This window comes from Homo sapiens, chromosome 18 (genome assembly GCF_000001405.40).
Source record: "Homo sapiens chromosome 18, GRCh38.p14 Primary Assembly".
NCBI lineage: Eukaryota > Metazoa > Chordata > Mammalia > Primates > Hominidae > Homo > Homo sapiens.
Window position 1 is genome coordinate 13773401 of NC_000018.10, and position 16655 is coordinate 13790055.

General features: G+C 38.0%; 1 annotated feature.

Annotated features, from left to right (window-relative positions):
- Positions 1648-2147: an enhancer, noted in NCBI's record as "H3K27ac hESC enhancer chr18:13775047-13775546 (GRCh37/hg19 assembly coordinates)". NCBI's record gives its function as "activates a minimal SCP1, AML or CMV promoter by ChIP-STARR-seq in naive H9 embryonic stem cells {active_cell/tissue: H9 hESC(naive)}" and the evidence as "EXISTENCE:reporter gene assay evidence [ECO:0000049][PMID:30033119]".

Sequence of the window (16655 nt, forward strand, 5' to 3'; positions counted from 1 at the left end):
TTTAACCAGACAACTAAGAGTAATTTATTCCTCTTTTCACCTTAAATGTAACCACTTAAATGAGGCATTCTAAGCTTCCTAACAACACATGAACAAGCAGGACTGAAGCAGCCTCTTGAGGCACAAATCCATAGGTACTTAGGAAATTTAGACATACTTTCTTTATAAGGCCATTCTTGTATGGCTATAAAAAAATACTCAAGACTGGGTAATTGATAAAGAACAGAGTTTTAATTGGCTCACAGTTCTTCAAGCTGTATGGTAAGCATGGCAATGGTGTCTTCTTGGCTTCTCAGGAAGCCTCAGGGAACTTTAAATCATGGTAGAGGGTGAAGTGGGAGCAGGCACATCACATAATGACAGCAGGAGCAAATGAGAAAGAGTTGGTGAAGGGAGAAGTGACCCACATTTTTAAACAATTGCATCTCATGTGAAATCAGAGGGAGAGCTCACTTATCACCAAGGGGATGACCCAAACTAGTAATGAGGAATCAGCCTCCGTAATCTAAACACCTCCCACCAGGCTCCATCTCCAGCATTGGGGATTACAACTCAACGTGAGATTAGGGCAGGAACAAATATCCAAACTGTCATTCTGCACCTGACCTCTCCCAAACATCATGTCCTTCTCACATTGCAAAATAAAATTATGCCTTCCCAATAGTCCCCCCAAGTCTTAACTTACTGCAGCATTAACTGAAAATTCCAAAGTTCAACGTCTCATCTTGGACAAAGCAAGTTCCTTCCAACAGTGAGCCTGTAAAATAAAAAACAAGCTATTTACAATGGGAGTATAGGCATTGCATAAACATTCCTGTTCTAAAAGGGAAGATCTGGCCAAAAGAAATGGGGCTACAAGCCCCACACAAGTCTGAAACCAAGCAGGGCAGTCATTAAATCACAAAGCTCCAAAGTCATCTCCTTTGACTCCATATCCTACATCCAGGGCACACTGGTGCAAGAGGTGGGCTCCTGTATTAGTCCATTTCTTACACTGCTATAAACCTACTACCTAAGACTGGGTGATTTATAAACAAAAGAGCTTTAATTGACTCACAGTTCTGCATGGCCGGAGAGACCTCAGGAAACTTACAATCATGGCAGAAGGTGAAGGGAAAGCAAGGTATATCTTACTTAGTGGCAAGAGAGACAGCGTAAGGGGGAACTGCCAAACACTTTTAAGCCATCAGATCTTGTGAGAACTCACTTACTATGATGAGAACAGCAAGGGGGAAACTACCCCCATGACCCAGTCACCTCCCACCAGGTCCCTCCCTTGACATGTTGGGATTACAATTCAAGACGAGGTTTGGGTGGGGACACAGACCAAACCACACCGGTTCCACAGGCCTTGGACAGCTCTGTCCCTGTGGCTTTGCAGGGTGCAACTCTCCCAGCTGCTCTCACAGTCAGGAGTTGAGTGCCTGTGACTTTTCCAGGCACAGAGTGCAAATTGCTGGTGCATCTATGATTCTTGGGTCTGGAGGGTGGTGGCCCCCTTCTGACAGCTCCATTAGGCAGTACCCAGTGGAATCTCAGTGTGGGACTCTAATCCCACATTTTCCCTTGTCACTGCCCTAGTAGAGGTTCTCTGTGATAGTTCTGCCCTTGCAGCAGGCTTCTGCCCGGACACCTAGGCTTTTTGATACATCCTCTGAAATCTAGGTGGAGGCTGCCAAGCCTCATTCACTCTCACATTCTGTGCACCCGCAGGCTTAACACCACATGAAAGCCATAAAGGCTTATGGCTTGCATTCTCCAAAGTGGCAGCCTGAACTGGCCCCTTTAAGCCCTTACTGGAGCTGCAGTCGCCTGGATGCAGGTAGCAGTGTCCTGAGATTTCACAGTACAGCAATGACCTGGCTCTGGCCCATGAAACCATTCAGCCCTCCTAGGCCTCAGGGTTTGTGATGGGGGGTGCTGCTGCCAAGGTCTCTGAAATGCCATTAAGGCCTTTTCCTTATTTTCTTGGCTATTAGCACTTTACTCCCTTTTAGTAATGCAAATTTCTCTAGCAAGTCGTTGCTCCACAATCTGCTTGAATTCCTCTCTCTCAGAAATTGCTCTCTCTCTCTGAGAAATTCCTTCCAATGGATACCCTAAATCGTCATTTTGAAGTTCAAACTTCCACAGATCCTTAAGGCATGAATGCAGTGCAGGCAGGTTCTTCGCTAAGGCCTAACATGCACGACCTTTTCTCCAGTTCCCAGTAAATTTCCCATTTCCATATGAGACCTTGTCAGCCTGGAGTTCACTGTTCATATCACTATCAGCATTTTGGTCACAACCATTTTACCAGTCTCTAAGAAGTTGAAAACTTTCCCTCACCTTCCTGAGCCCTCCAAACTCTTCCAACTTCTGCCCTGTACCTAGTTCCAGAGTCACTTCCACATTTTAAGGTATCTTATAGCAATGCCCCACTCCTTGGTACCAATTTTTTATGTTAGGCCTTTCTTGAATTGCTATAAATACCTGAGACTGGGCAATTTATTTTAAAAGAGGTTTAATTGGCTCACAGTTATGCAGACTGTACAGAAATCATGGCAATGGTATCTGCTCAGCTTCTGGGGAAACCTCAGGGAGCTTTCAATCATGGCAGAAGGCAAAGTGCGAGTTGGCACATCATATGGCAAAAGCAAGAGCAAGAGAGAGATAGTGGTGGGGAGGTGCCCCACACTTTTAAACTACCAGATCTTATGTGAACTTAGAAACGAGAGCTCACTTATCACCAAAGGGATGGCCCAAGCCATTCATGAGGGATCTGCTCTTATGATCCAGTCACCACTCATCAGGCCCCATCTCCAACACTGGGGATTACAATTCAACATGAGATTTGGGTAGGGCAAATATCCAAACTATATCACTTTCCCTTATCAACCATGGCTTCTCAGATTTAAAGGTAGATTTCCTACCACCCTTATCAGTGGGATACAATTTACTTTGTAAAAGCAAACACTCGGGGAGTAGTCAGCAAAGAGCAATTGGCCACTTACATAAAGGTTAGATGTCAGGAGGTAATAAGCCTGCAGAAAGAATTGTAAAGGCAGAAATGTCACAGCCTGGCTTGTAACTCTTTTTTTTCTTCAAGACGGAGTTTCACTCTTGTTGCCCAGGCTGGAGTGCAATGACATGATCTCAGCTCACTGCACCCTCTGCCTCCCAGGTTCAAGTGATTCTCCTGCCTCAGCCTCCTGAGTAGCTGGAATTACAGGCACGCACCACCGCGCCTGGCTAATTTTTTGTATTTTTAGTAGAGACGAGGATTCACCATGGCCAGGCTGGTATTGAACTTCCGACCTCAGGTGATCTGCCCACCTCAGCCTCCCAAAGTGCTGGGATTACAGGTGTGAGCCACCATGCCTGGCAGCTTTTCTCCAGACAACTTTTCATATTATTTATAACTATTAATTTTTCCAGCAATGGCAATCCAATCATACCAGTAAATTGAATAGAATTTTTAAGAGTTTTTTCCCAAGATTTTTTTCTTTCTTTCTTTTTGGCATGTATTACTTCTCCTAAACTGGTAATAAAATGAAGTTACCACTATATGCAAATACATTGCTCTTCTCACAAAAGCGAATATATCACTTTTAATCACATGGTAAATGTTTTCACTATTTTTTTTTTTTTTAAGAGATAAGGTCTTGCTCTGTCGCCTAGGCTGGAGCACAGTGGTACGGTCATAGATCACTGCAGTCTTGAATTTCTCAGCTCAAGCAATCCTCTTGCCTTAGCCTCCCAAATAGCTAGGACTACAGGCACATGCCATCACACCTAGCTAATTCAAAAAATTTTTTGTATAGACAGGGGTCTTGCTATGTTGTCCAGGCATGTTGCAAACTTCTGGCCTCAAGCTATGCTCCCACCTCAGCAGTTGAAAGCACTGGGATTACAACCATAAGCCACTGTGTCAGGCCTTTTCCATTATGTGATGATAATAGTGATAGCTAATATTTTAAAGCAGATACCATTAATTACATCATCTTTTAACTCTTGCCAGCATTAATACAAAATAAATGCTGTATTATAATTATTATTATTTTTTCTTTTTCTTTTTGAGACGGAGTCTTGCTCTGTCCCCCAGGCTAGAGTGCAGTGGCGTGATCTTGGCTCACTGCAAGCTCCGCCTCTCGGGTTCACGCCATTCTCCTGCCTCAGCCTCCTGAGTAGCTGGGACTACAGGTGCCCGCCACCACGCCTGGCTAATTTTTTTTTTCTTTTTTTGTATTTTTAGTAGAGATGGGGTTTCACCGTGCTAGCCAGGATGGTCTCGATCTCCTGACTTCATGATCCACCCGCCTCAGCCTCCCAAAGTGCTGGGATTACAGGTGTGAGCCACCATGCCCAGCCTATTATTATTTTTTTAATGATGCTGATGAAGAAAACAAAGTTGAATGGAGCTAAATGGCCCAAACTCAATGAATGAGTGTTGATGCTGAACTTCCATCCAGACTTGTGAGAATACAAACCCAAATTTCCTAACCTCACTATATTGTGTGTATTGACTATGTATTTATGGTCATCTGAACTCCAAGAAACCTTTAGAAATTATACAGTCTTGCACCTTTACTAGGGAGCATTTGAAAGTGAACACTTAAAGCATCAGATGGATGAACATGGATTTAAATTTAGCACCAGATATTGAGATCTCTTGGTGAACTACTCATGATTTATCAAAGAGGCATTCCAAGAATAATTATTGTTATTTACATTAAGTCTTCATTCTGGAATTTTACTGTACATGACAGATAATTAATTTTACACTGTATTGGCTGAATGGTATTAGAACTTTTCCAGATTTTTCTTTTTTAGAAAACTTAAACAGAAATATTTTGAACAACACAGGTTTGAACTGTGAGGATCCACTTTTCTGCAGATTTTTTTCAACCAAACATGGATTGAAAATACAGTATTCACGAGATGTGAAACCCACATATACAAAGGGCTGACTTTTCATGTACACAGGTTCTACAGAGTTAACTCCGGGACTTGAGTATGCAGGGATTTTGGTATACTTGAGAAGTCCTAGAACCAATCTCCCATGTTTACTAAGGGATGACTGTATATAGTCTTTCAAATTTCTTATATGATAGAATATAATTTTAAGTTATGTATGTTTAATTTAGATCAACATATTAAAGTCCTATAAATGTTGTTTATAATGTCTTTCATATATAGAAGGATATTTTTTTCTAGTTTTTTTCATTTACTAAGTCAAATGCCTTTATTTTAAATCATGAAAATATTAGTATAATTTGTTAAATATCATTTGAAATGATACAGTTTTTGGTTTGGGTACAAAATATATATTAAAATATATTTAACTTTTAATTTTTAAAATATATTTTACAGGTTATGCCATTAACTTAACATATATTTTTAAAGTTAATGGCATAACCTGTAGAATTAATGGCAATTTCAATCTGTCCACATATGTTCTAAAAAACACACAGGTGGCCAGGTGCAGTGGGTCACTCCTGTAATCCCAGCATTTTGGGAGGCTGAGGCTGGTGGATCACAAGGTCAGGAGCTCAAGACCAGCCTGGCCAAGATGGTGAAACCCTGTCTCTACTAAAAATACAAAAATTAGCCAGGCATGGTGGCGGGTGCCTGTAATCCCAGCTACTTGGGAGGCTGAGGCAGGAGAATCGCTGGAACCCGGGGGGCAGAGGTTGCAGTGAGCCAAGATTGCACCATTGCACTCCAGCCTGGGCGACAGAGTGAGAATCTGTCTCAAAAAAAAAAAAAAAAAAAAAAAAAAGAACAAAACAAAAAACAAACAAAAAAATCCCCCACATAGGCTAACAAGAAGAGTAAATAAAAATTACCCATAGCTCACACATACAGCTTAACTAGGAGACAGAATACTATATAAACTACAGTTTCCATTGAAGTAGTTGGAGGTTGGGGTGGCGTAAATAGAAATAGCTCCAGAGTCTACACCAGAGCAGTTTCAGAAGGAGACAGTACATAAAATAGAGAGGGCAGTAATAAAATAACCATCAGAAATTGAGAGTGCCACCCTGAGTAGACGAATGATGAAAACAATAAATTTCTTCCGTGGACTCATGAAAACAGCTATTATCTGGCAAGCCCAGCAGGTGGGCCAGGGTACAGAATGACCACTGGTAAATTTAGATAGTGACAATGCATAAAGAAAGTCATCAGAATGATTTGATAAAAAAGACTTAGTGGAGGCGGAGTAGAAAACAGGTTTGAAGCTGGGCGCGGTGGCTCATGCCTGTAATCCCAGCACTTTGGGAGGCTCAGGCAGGTGGATGACGAGGTCAGAAGTTTGAGATCAGCCTGGCCAACATGGTGAAACCCTGTCTCTACTAAAAATACAAAAATTAGCTGGGCGTGGTGGTGCGCATCTGTAATCCCAGGTACTCAGGAGTCTGAGGCAGGAGAATTGCTTGAACTGGGGAGGTGGAGGTTGCAGTGAGCCAAGATTGCACCACTGCACTCCAGCTGTGGGCAACAGAGCAAGACTCCATCTTGGGAAAAAGAAAAAAAGAAAGAAAGAAAGAGAGAAAGGAAGGAAGGAAGGGAGGGAGGGAGGGAGGGAAGAAAGAAAGAAAATAGGTTTGATTGTTGGAGAAGATCTCAAGAGGTAGCATTTGAGCTCAGACCCGAATAATCATATAAGGCAAGAATGCCCCAGTCTAGGAGAATAGCAAATGCAAAAGCTTAAGTCAAGAATAAGACTGCAATTTCAGAAAATGAGAGTAAGTTATTTGAGTTAATTGAGTAAAGTGATGAGTGTTATATAATGGATGCATAGAGATAGGCAGGGACCAGGTAATGTAAGACCCTGTAGGTGGTGGAAAAAGTCTGGATATTTTTCTGAAGTCAATGGAAAGCCACAAGGGGTTTATGAGATATGAATGTAATCATCCATTCTATGTTTTTGGTAACCAAAGCAGCAGGATATTGGTATAAAAATAGATACATTGACCAATGGATCAGAATGGAGAACTGAGAAATAAAGCCACATATTTACAGCCAACTCATCTTCAACAAAGCCAACAAGAACTTACATTGGGGAAAGGGCACCCTCTTCAATACGGTGCTGAGAAAATTGGAGAGCCAGTTGCAGAAGAATGGCGCTGGACCCTTATCTCTCATCATATACAAAAGTCAGCTCAAGATGGATTAAAAACTTAAATGTAATAACTGGAACTTTAAAAATACTAAAACCTAGGAAAAACTCTTTTGGACATTGGTCTACGCAAAGAATTTATGACTAAGACCTCAAAAGCACAGGCAACAAAAACAAAAATAGACAAATGGGACTTAATTAAACTAAAAAGCTTCTGCACACAAAAAGAAATAACAGAGTAAGAGACAATTTGTTGAATGGGAGAAAATATTTGCAAACTGTTCATTCAACAGAATACTAATATCCAGAATATACAAGAAACTCAACAGGAATTCCATTAAAAAGTGGGCAGAGGGGCCGGGTGCGGTGGCTTATGCCTGTAATCCCAGCACTTTGGGAGGCTGAGGCGGGTGGATCACGAGGTCAGGAGATCGAGACCATTCTGGCTAACATGGTGAAGCCCCATCTGTACTAAAAATACAAAAAATTAGCCGGGCTTGGTGGCGGGCACCTGTAGTCCCAGCTACTCAGGAGGCTGAGGCAGGAGAATCGCTTGAACCCAGGAGGCAGAGGTTGCAGTGACCTCAGATCATGTCACTGAACTCCAGCCTGGCAACAGAGCAAGACTCCATCTCAAAAAAAAAGTGGGCAAAGGATACGCATAGACATTTCTCAAAAGAAGACATACAACTGGCCACCAGGTATATGAACAAATGCTCAACATCACTATCAAAGAAATTCAAATGTCAATAAATTTTAAAGTATTAAAATCATATACAATATTTTTCTACCACAACAGAAATTTATAAAAGAAGAAAATTTGGGAAATCCACAAATATTTGGAAATTAATACACTTTTATTTTCATGGACCAAGAGAGAAATCACAAAATATATTAAGTGGAATGGAAAAAACACATCAAGACACATGGGATGCAATGATAGCAGTACTTAGAGGGAAATTTATAGCTACAAATACATATTAGAAAATACGGATGTCACATCAATAAACTAAGCTTTCACTCAGTAACTGGGAAAAAAAACTAAACTCAAGACAAGAAGAAAGAAGCAAATAATAAAGATTAGAGTGAAAAATCAATGAAATAGATAACAGAGAAGCAATAGAGAAAGTTGGTGAAATTAAAAATTAGTTTTTTAAAAAATTCAACAAAACTGACAGATCTTTAGCTAGACTGATCAAGAAAAAAAGACAAATTAGTAAAATGAGAAATGAGAGGACTTCACTATCAAATTTATAAAAATTAAGGGACTATAGTGGAATAACATGAACATATTTAGGTCAACAAATTGGACAACTTAGATGGAATAGACTAATTTCTCCAAAGATAAAAATACACTCAAAATACTAAAAATGACTCAAGAAGAATGAGAAAATCTGACTAGTAAAAAAAGGTAATCAGTGCCTTAAAATCTCACCAAAAAAGCCCAGGCCCAGATGGTTTCACTGGTGATTTCTCTCACATTTAGAGAAATAATACTAACCCTTTATAAACTCTTCCAGAATAGAAAGGAGAAGGGAACAATTCCCATCTCATTCTATGAAGATAGTATTTGCATATCAGAGGCAAAAAAAGGGCATTATTTTTTAAAAACCTACGGACAAATATTTCTTACAAATGTAGATGCACAGATCCTCAACAAATCACTAACAAGCAGAATGCGGCAGCATATACAAAGAATTGTACACCATGATCAAGTGGAATTTATTCCATAGTGCAAAGGTGACTTAATATCTGAAAAGTAATATATTGCACTGTACTAATAGAATGAAAGATAAAACCACATAATCATCTCAATAGATGAAGCATTTTTACAAAATCCAACATCCCTTCATGATGACACTCAGTAAAACTGGAATAGAAGGGAGCCTCTTTAATCTGATAAAAGCATCTACAAAAACCTACAGCTAACATTATAACTAAAGATAAAAGAAAATAAGAAACGAGGCAAGGATGCTCAATCTCATCACTCCTATTTAACATGGTACTGCAGGTTTTAGCCAGTGTAATCAAGCAAGAAAATCAGATATGTATAGATAATCCTTGGAAATTCACAAAACTGTGAGTTCAGCAAAGTTACATGATACAAAATCAATATGCAAAAGTATTTGTATTTCTATGTCTTAGCAATGAACAAATTAAAGATGAAACTGAGAAAAAATGTAATCGACAATAATAATAATGCAGGAATAAATGTAACAAAGTGTAAGGCTTGTACACTGAAACTATAAAAAGTATTGCTGAGGGAATTAAAGATCTAAATAAGTGGAGGGATATTTCATGTTCGTGGATTGGAATGCTCAGTATTGTTAAGATGTCAGCTCTCCTCAAATTAATCTATGGATTCAACATAATACGCATAGAAACTCCAGCAGGCTTTTTTTTTTTTTTTGCAGAAATTAACAACCAGATCTGAAACTCTATAAATTAATGCAAATGACCCAGCATAGTCAAAACAATTCATAAAAGGAACAAAGTGAAAGAACTTATACTTCTTGATTTAAAAAATTACTATAATTCCAAATAAGACAATGAGTGTGGTATTGGAATAAAGATAGACATCCAGATCAATAGAATGAAATGTAGAGTACAAAAATAAACCCTTATATTTAGGTCCATTGATTTTCAAGAAAGGTGCCAACACATATGGGGAAAGAATAGTCTTTTTGACAAATAATGATGAAACAGTTTTAAATCTTACCTCACACTATATGCAAAAATTAATTCCAAATGGATTTAAAACCTAGTTTAGGAACTGAAACCATAGGATCTTTAGAAGAAAACATAGAGAAAAATCTTCATGACCTTGGGTCAATCAAAGGTATTTTGGATATGACACTAAAAGAATACATTACAAAAAAATTGACAAATTGGACTTTGTCAAAATTTAAAACTTTGTGCATCAGACAATGTCATTAAGAAAATAAATAGACAATCTACATAACGGTAAAAAATATGTGCAAATAATATTTATGACAAAAGTCTTCTATTCAGAATATACAAAGAACTTTTACAACTCAATAATAAGGCAAACAGTCTTGTTTACAAATAGCCAAAATATTTGAATAGACATTTCACAAAAGATATGAATGGCAAAAAGCACAGGAAAAGATAGTCAACATCATTAATCATTCAGAGATTCAAATTAAAACACAACACAATAACACTTTTCACCCGTTAGAATGGCATAATCAAAATAGACAGTACTAAGTATTGGGGAAGATATAGAGAAAAAGGAGCTCTTGGCTGAGTGCAGTGGTCAAGCCTGTAATCCCTGCACTTTGGGAGGCTGAGGCTGGAGGACCACGAGGTCAGGAGGTCGAGACCAGCCTGGCCAACATGGTGAAATCCTGTCTCTACTAAAAATACAAAAAATAGCTGAGCATGGTGGCGGGCATCTGTAATCCCAGCTACTCGGGAGGCTGAGGCAGGAGAATCATTTGAACCCCGGAGGCAGAGGTTGCAGTGATCCCAGATCGCACCATTGCACTCCAGCCCGGGTGACAGGTGATAGGGCAAGACTTCGTCTCAAAAAAGAAAAAAGAAGAAGAAAAATAAAAAGGAGCTGTCATACACTGCTGATGGGAATGTAGAATGGCACAGCCACCACTTTGGAAAGCAGTTTAACATTTTCTTAAAATGTTAAACATAAATTTACCATATGACCCAGCAATTCCACTCCTGGATATCTACCCAAAGAAAATGAGAACATATGTCCACACAAAGACTTGTTTAGGAATCATAACAGCTAAAAGCATTATTCACGACAGCTAAATGCACATGTCCATCACGTGGTGAATAGATAAACAAAATATGATATATCCTTATAATGGAATATCATTAAATAATAAGAAGGAGCTAACTTGTTATCCACGGGTGAACCTCAAAAACATGCTAAATGAAAAAAGTTGGATTTGAAACATTACATATTATATGATTCTATGTACAGGAAATGTCCAGAAAGACAAGTCTACAGAGCAGATATCAACAAACATTTGGCATAAAGGGCAATACAGTAAATATTTTAGGTTCTGTTGGCCATAAAACAAAGCTCTCTTACAACTATTCAATTCTGCATTTTTCAGGAGAAAGCAGCCACAACATATATGTAAATGAATGGGCAGAACTGTGTCTCCGTAAAACTACAGTTGATCCTTGAACAACACAAGTTTGAGCTGTGTGGGTCTACTTATACATGAATTTTCTTTCACCTCTGCTACTCCTGAGACAGCAAGATCAACCCCTCCACTTCCTCCTCCTCAGCCTACTCAATATGAAGATGACAAGGATAAAGACTTTTATGATAGTCCACTTCCACTTATTTGTGATAGTCCATACTATTATGAATAGTAAATATACTTTCTCTTCTTCATGATTTTCTTTATAATGTTTTCTCTAGCTTACTTTATTTAAGAATATAATAGATAATACATATAACGTGCAAAGTGTATGTTAATCAACTATTTATTTTATTAGTAAGGCTTCCAGTCAACAGTAGGTTATTAGTAGTTATGGAGTCAAGTTATATGTGGATTTTTGACTGTGCATGGAGTTGATGTCCCTAACCCCTACATTGTTCAAGCATCAATTATATTCATAAAAACAGGCCACAGACTGGATTTGGCCCATGACAGTAGTTTGCAGACTCCTGCTATAGAGGAAAGAGTACATTAATGGTTGTCTGGAGCTGGGTGGGGGTGAGGAGGGTGACAACTGCAAGTAATTGAAAAAGGTGAAGGGGAATATTTTGCAGATAACAGGAGTTGCAAACTACTATTAAAGAAGAGCAAGAGGAGAAAAGTCAAAGAAGAATATGCAACAGAGAGGATTCTGTGAAGACAATGGAGTAGGAAGCACCAGGAGTAATCTCACATGCCCAGGGAAAGGCACAGACTCAGAAAATACCTAAGAAATCTTTAAGTTTACACCTCAAGCTAATCCTTGGCACAGAGACAGCCTACAATAATAAAAATCAATACACAAATAAAAACAATAACAAAAAAACCCCCACAGTTCTCTCTCCGTGCAGCAGTCTCCTCTCTGGTGGGGTGCCTGGAAGTGCTCCAGCCACTCTGACTCCCAGCTCTGCCTGACTCCTGGCTAGCTGGCTAGCCCAACTAGCAGCCTGCCTCCCTGAACTTCCAACTCTGCTCCTCAACTCAAGGAGGCTGCCTGTGTTCCCAGCTCTGTGCCATATCCTGGGAACTCTCTAAGCAATAAAACTGAGGCAATCATAGGACTCACCCGGATAGTGAACGTTGTACCAAATAGGTAGTTTTTCAGTCCTTGCCCTGGCCCTCCCTCCCTCCCTACTTTTGGAATCCTCAGTCTCTACTGTTCCCATCTTTATGTCTGTGTGTACCCAAGGTTTAGGTCCCACTTATAAGCGAGAACATGCAATATTTGGTTTTCTGTTTCTGCATTAATTCTCTTAGGGTAATGGCTCCCAGTTGCATCCATGTTGTTGCAAAGGACAAGATTTCATTTTTTATGGCTGCATAGTATTCCACAGTGTATATATACCATATTTTCTTTTTTTTTAATTATTGTACTTTAAGTTTTAGGGTACATGTGCACAACGTGCAGGTTTGTTACATATGTATACATGTGCCATGTTGGTGTGCTGAACCCATTAACTCGTCATTTAGCATTAGGTGTATCTCCTAATGCTATCCCTCCCCCCTCCCCCCACCCCACAACAGTCCCCAGTGTGTGATGTTCCCCTTCCTATGTCCATGTGTTCTCATTGTTCAATTCCCACCTATGAGTGAGAACATGAGGTGTTTGGTTTTTTGTCCTTGCAATAGTTTGCTGAGAATGATGGTTTCCAGCTTCATCCATGTCCCTACAAAGGACATGAACTCATCATTTTTTATGGTTCCATAGTATTCCATGGTGTATATGTGCCACATTTTCTTAATCCAGTCTATCATTGTTGGACATTTGGCTTGGTTCCAAGTCTTTGCTATTGTGAATAGTGCCACAATAAACATTCGTGTGCATGTGTCTTTATGGCAGCATGATTTATAATCCTTTGGGTATATACCCAGTAATGGGATGGCTGGGTCAAATGGTATATACCATATTTTCTTTATCCAATCCACCATTGACAGCCACCTAGGTTAATTCCATGTCTTTACTTGCTTTTTAGAATCAATTCCTTACCCATACTTTTTCAAAGTTGTTTAGTTTTTTTCTAGCCTTTTGAAATGAATGCTCAATTCAGTGATTTTAATATATTGTGTATAAATATTACCTCCTTTAAGGCTATGAATTAGCCTCTGAAAACAGCTATATAGTCAGCCCTTCATATCCATAGGTTCTGCATCTGTAGAGTCAACCAATTGTGGATCAAAAATATTTGGGGAAAAATGATGGTTGCATCTATACTGAACTTGTACAGACTTTTTTTTCTTGTCATTATGCCCTAAATAATAGAATATAGCAAATATTTGTAAAGCATTTACATTGTATTAGGTATTATAAGAAATCTAGAGATGATTTACAGTATACAGGAGGATGTGCATAGGTTATATGCAAATACTGTACCATTTTACATCAGGCACTTGAGCATCCATGGCTTTTGGTATCCGTGGGGAGTCCTGGAACCAATTCCCCATGAATACACAGAGACAACTGTATTAGCGTATTGGTTGTTATGCTTCAAGCTACAAGGAATGGAAAACAACTACAAGTAGCTTAAACAAGAGAGAATTATTATCCCATTGTATTAACTATATTTTGTTATCTTCTGCATTCATGATAATCTGGCATTTGAGGCCTTGATGCTGGAGAAACTGCCCCTCCTAGGATTAGCTCGTTCCTAAAAAGCAAATGACTCCCCTGCAATCACACCTTTTTTATACAAACCAACCGATCCAGAGCCCACAGTTATACCTACTTCATAGGACTGGTGTAAGGAGTAAATGATTATGTGTGTATGCATATATGGGTGTATGTATGTATGTATGTATGTATCTGTCTGTCTATCTATCTATCTATCTATCTATCTATCTATCTATCTATCTATCTATCATCATCATCTCTATGTATAGGCCAAGTTAAAAACATATAGTGGATTCTCAATGTTTATTTCATTCTCCCTTTTATAGTTGTAGCTAATATAAAATCAAAAACTTTTCACATCTTGATTCTTTTTAACAACAGTTATTTGAGATATACTCCACATAATAAAAATTCACCCTTTTAAAGTTTATAATACAGTGTTTTCTTAGTATATTCACAGAGTTGTGCAACCATAACCACTAATTTTAAAACATTTTAAGCACCCCAAAAAGGAACCCTGCACCCATAAGCAGTAAGTCCCTTTTTTCCCCTCTCCTAGCACCCGGCCACCATTAATGTACTTTCTGTCTTTATGAATTTGCCTATTCTGGACATTTTATATAATTGGGATCATACACTATGTGGCCACTGTAACTGGAGGAGATTTTTATTGGACTTGTGCTGAGTCTGTAGGTCCATTTGGAGAGGATTGCCACATTGGTAATATTGTGTGTTCTTATGCATGCATGTGGGATATCTTTCCATTTATTTAGATCTTTAATTTCTTTCAACAATATTTTGTAGTCATTAGTGTACAAGTGTTAGACTATTTGTTAAATTTATTCCTAAGTGTTTTATTCTTTTTGTTGCTATTGTAAGTGTAATTGTTTTCTTAAATTTTCAATTATTCATTGCTAGGATACAGAAATACAATTGACTTTTGTATATTATTTTGTACCTGCACTTTTGCTGGACTTATTTTTTTAGTTCTAATAGCTTTTTAGTGGATTTCTTAAGATTTTCTGTATACAAGATTATGTTATGTGTAAACAGAGATAGTCTCACCTCTTCTTTTCTTATCTGGATACCTTTTATTTCTTTTACTCGTCTAATTGTCCTGGCTGGAACCTCCAGAGCAGTTTTGAATAGAAATGGCAAGGGTGAACATGCTTGTCTTTTTCCTGAGCTTTGGGGGAAAGCATTCAGTCTCATCATTAAATATGATGGTGGCTGTTTTCATAGATGTCATTAGTGAGGCTGGGGATGTTCACTTGTCTTTCTAGTTTGTTGAGTGCTTTTGATCATGAAAGGGTGTTGGATTTTGTCAAATAGGTTTTCTGCATTGATTGAGATGATCATTTGATTTTTTTCCTTGTTCTATTAATGTGGAATATTGCATTGATTGGTTTTCATATTTTGAACCACCCTTGCATTCCTGGGATAAATCCCACTTAGTCATGATGTATAATTTTTTTAATATGCTGCTGGACTTGGTTTGCTGGTATCATGTTGAGGACTTTTTATGTCTTTATTCATAAGAGATATTGGTCCATCTCTTATGTTTTTCTTGTGATGTCTTTGACTATCAGGGAAATATTAGCTTCATAGAATAACGTGGGAAGTGTTCCCTCCTTTCTTATTTTTTTGAAGAGTTTGTGAAGGACAGATGTTAATTCTTCTTAAGCCATTTGGTATAATTTATCAATGAAATGATCTAAGCTGGGGTGGGAAGTTTTTTGATTACTATTTAAATATCTTCACTCATTACAGGTTATTCAGATTTCCTATTTCTATTTCTTCTTGTGTCAATCTCAGTAATTTGTGTCTTTGCAGGAATTTGTCCATTTCATCAAGGCTATCTAATATTTTGTCATGTGTTGTTCATAGTATTCCCTTATGCTTCATTTTTATTTCTGCAAGGTTGGTAGTGATGTCCCTCCCTTTCATACTAATTTTAGTAACTTGTCTTTTTTCTTTTTCCCTTGGTCAATCTACCTAAAGGTTTGCCAATTTCATTGCTCTTTTTAAAGAACCAACTTTTGCTTTCGTTGATTTTCTCTGTTTGTCTAGTCTCTAGTTCATTTCTTGTCACTCTAGCCCTTATTACTACTTCATTATTTCCTTCTGCTTATTTTGGTTTTGTTTGCTGTTTCTCTAATTCCTTAAGGTATAAAGTTAGGTTTTGTTTTTTTTCCCTTGGTCAGTCTAACTAAAGGTTTGCCAATTTCATTGCTCTTTTTAAAGAACCAACTTTTGCTTTCATTGATATTCTCTGTTGTTTGTCTAGTCTCTAGTTCATTTCTTGGCACTCTCGCCCTTATTATTACTTCATTATTTCTTTCTGCTTATTTTGGTTTTGTTTGCTATTTCTCTAATTCCTTAAGGTATAAAGTTAGGTTTTTGATTCCCAAATCTTTCTTTTCTAATATAGGCATTTTCAGTTATAACTTTTCTTATCCTAATTACTGCTTTTACTGTATCCCATAAATTTTTGTATGCAGTGTTTTTGTTTTTATTCATCTAAAAGTATTTTCTAATATCCATTTTGATTCATCCTTTTATCCATTGGCTACTGAAGAGTGTATTGTTTAATTTTCACATATCTATAAATTTCCCAAAATTTCTTCTGTGATCAATATCTAATTTTATTCCATTGTAGTTGGGCCATATACTTGGCATGATTAAAATCCTTTTAAGTTTATTAAGACTTGTTTTATGGCATAACATATGATCTTTCTGGAAAATATTC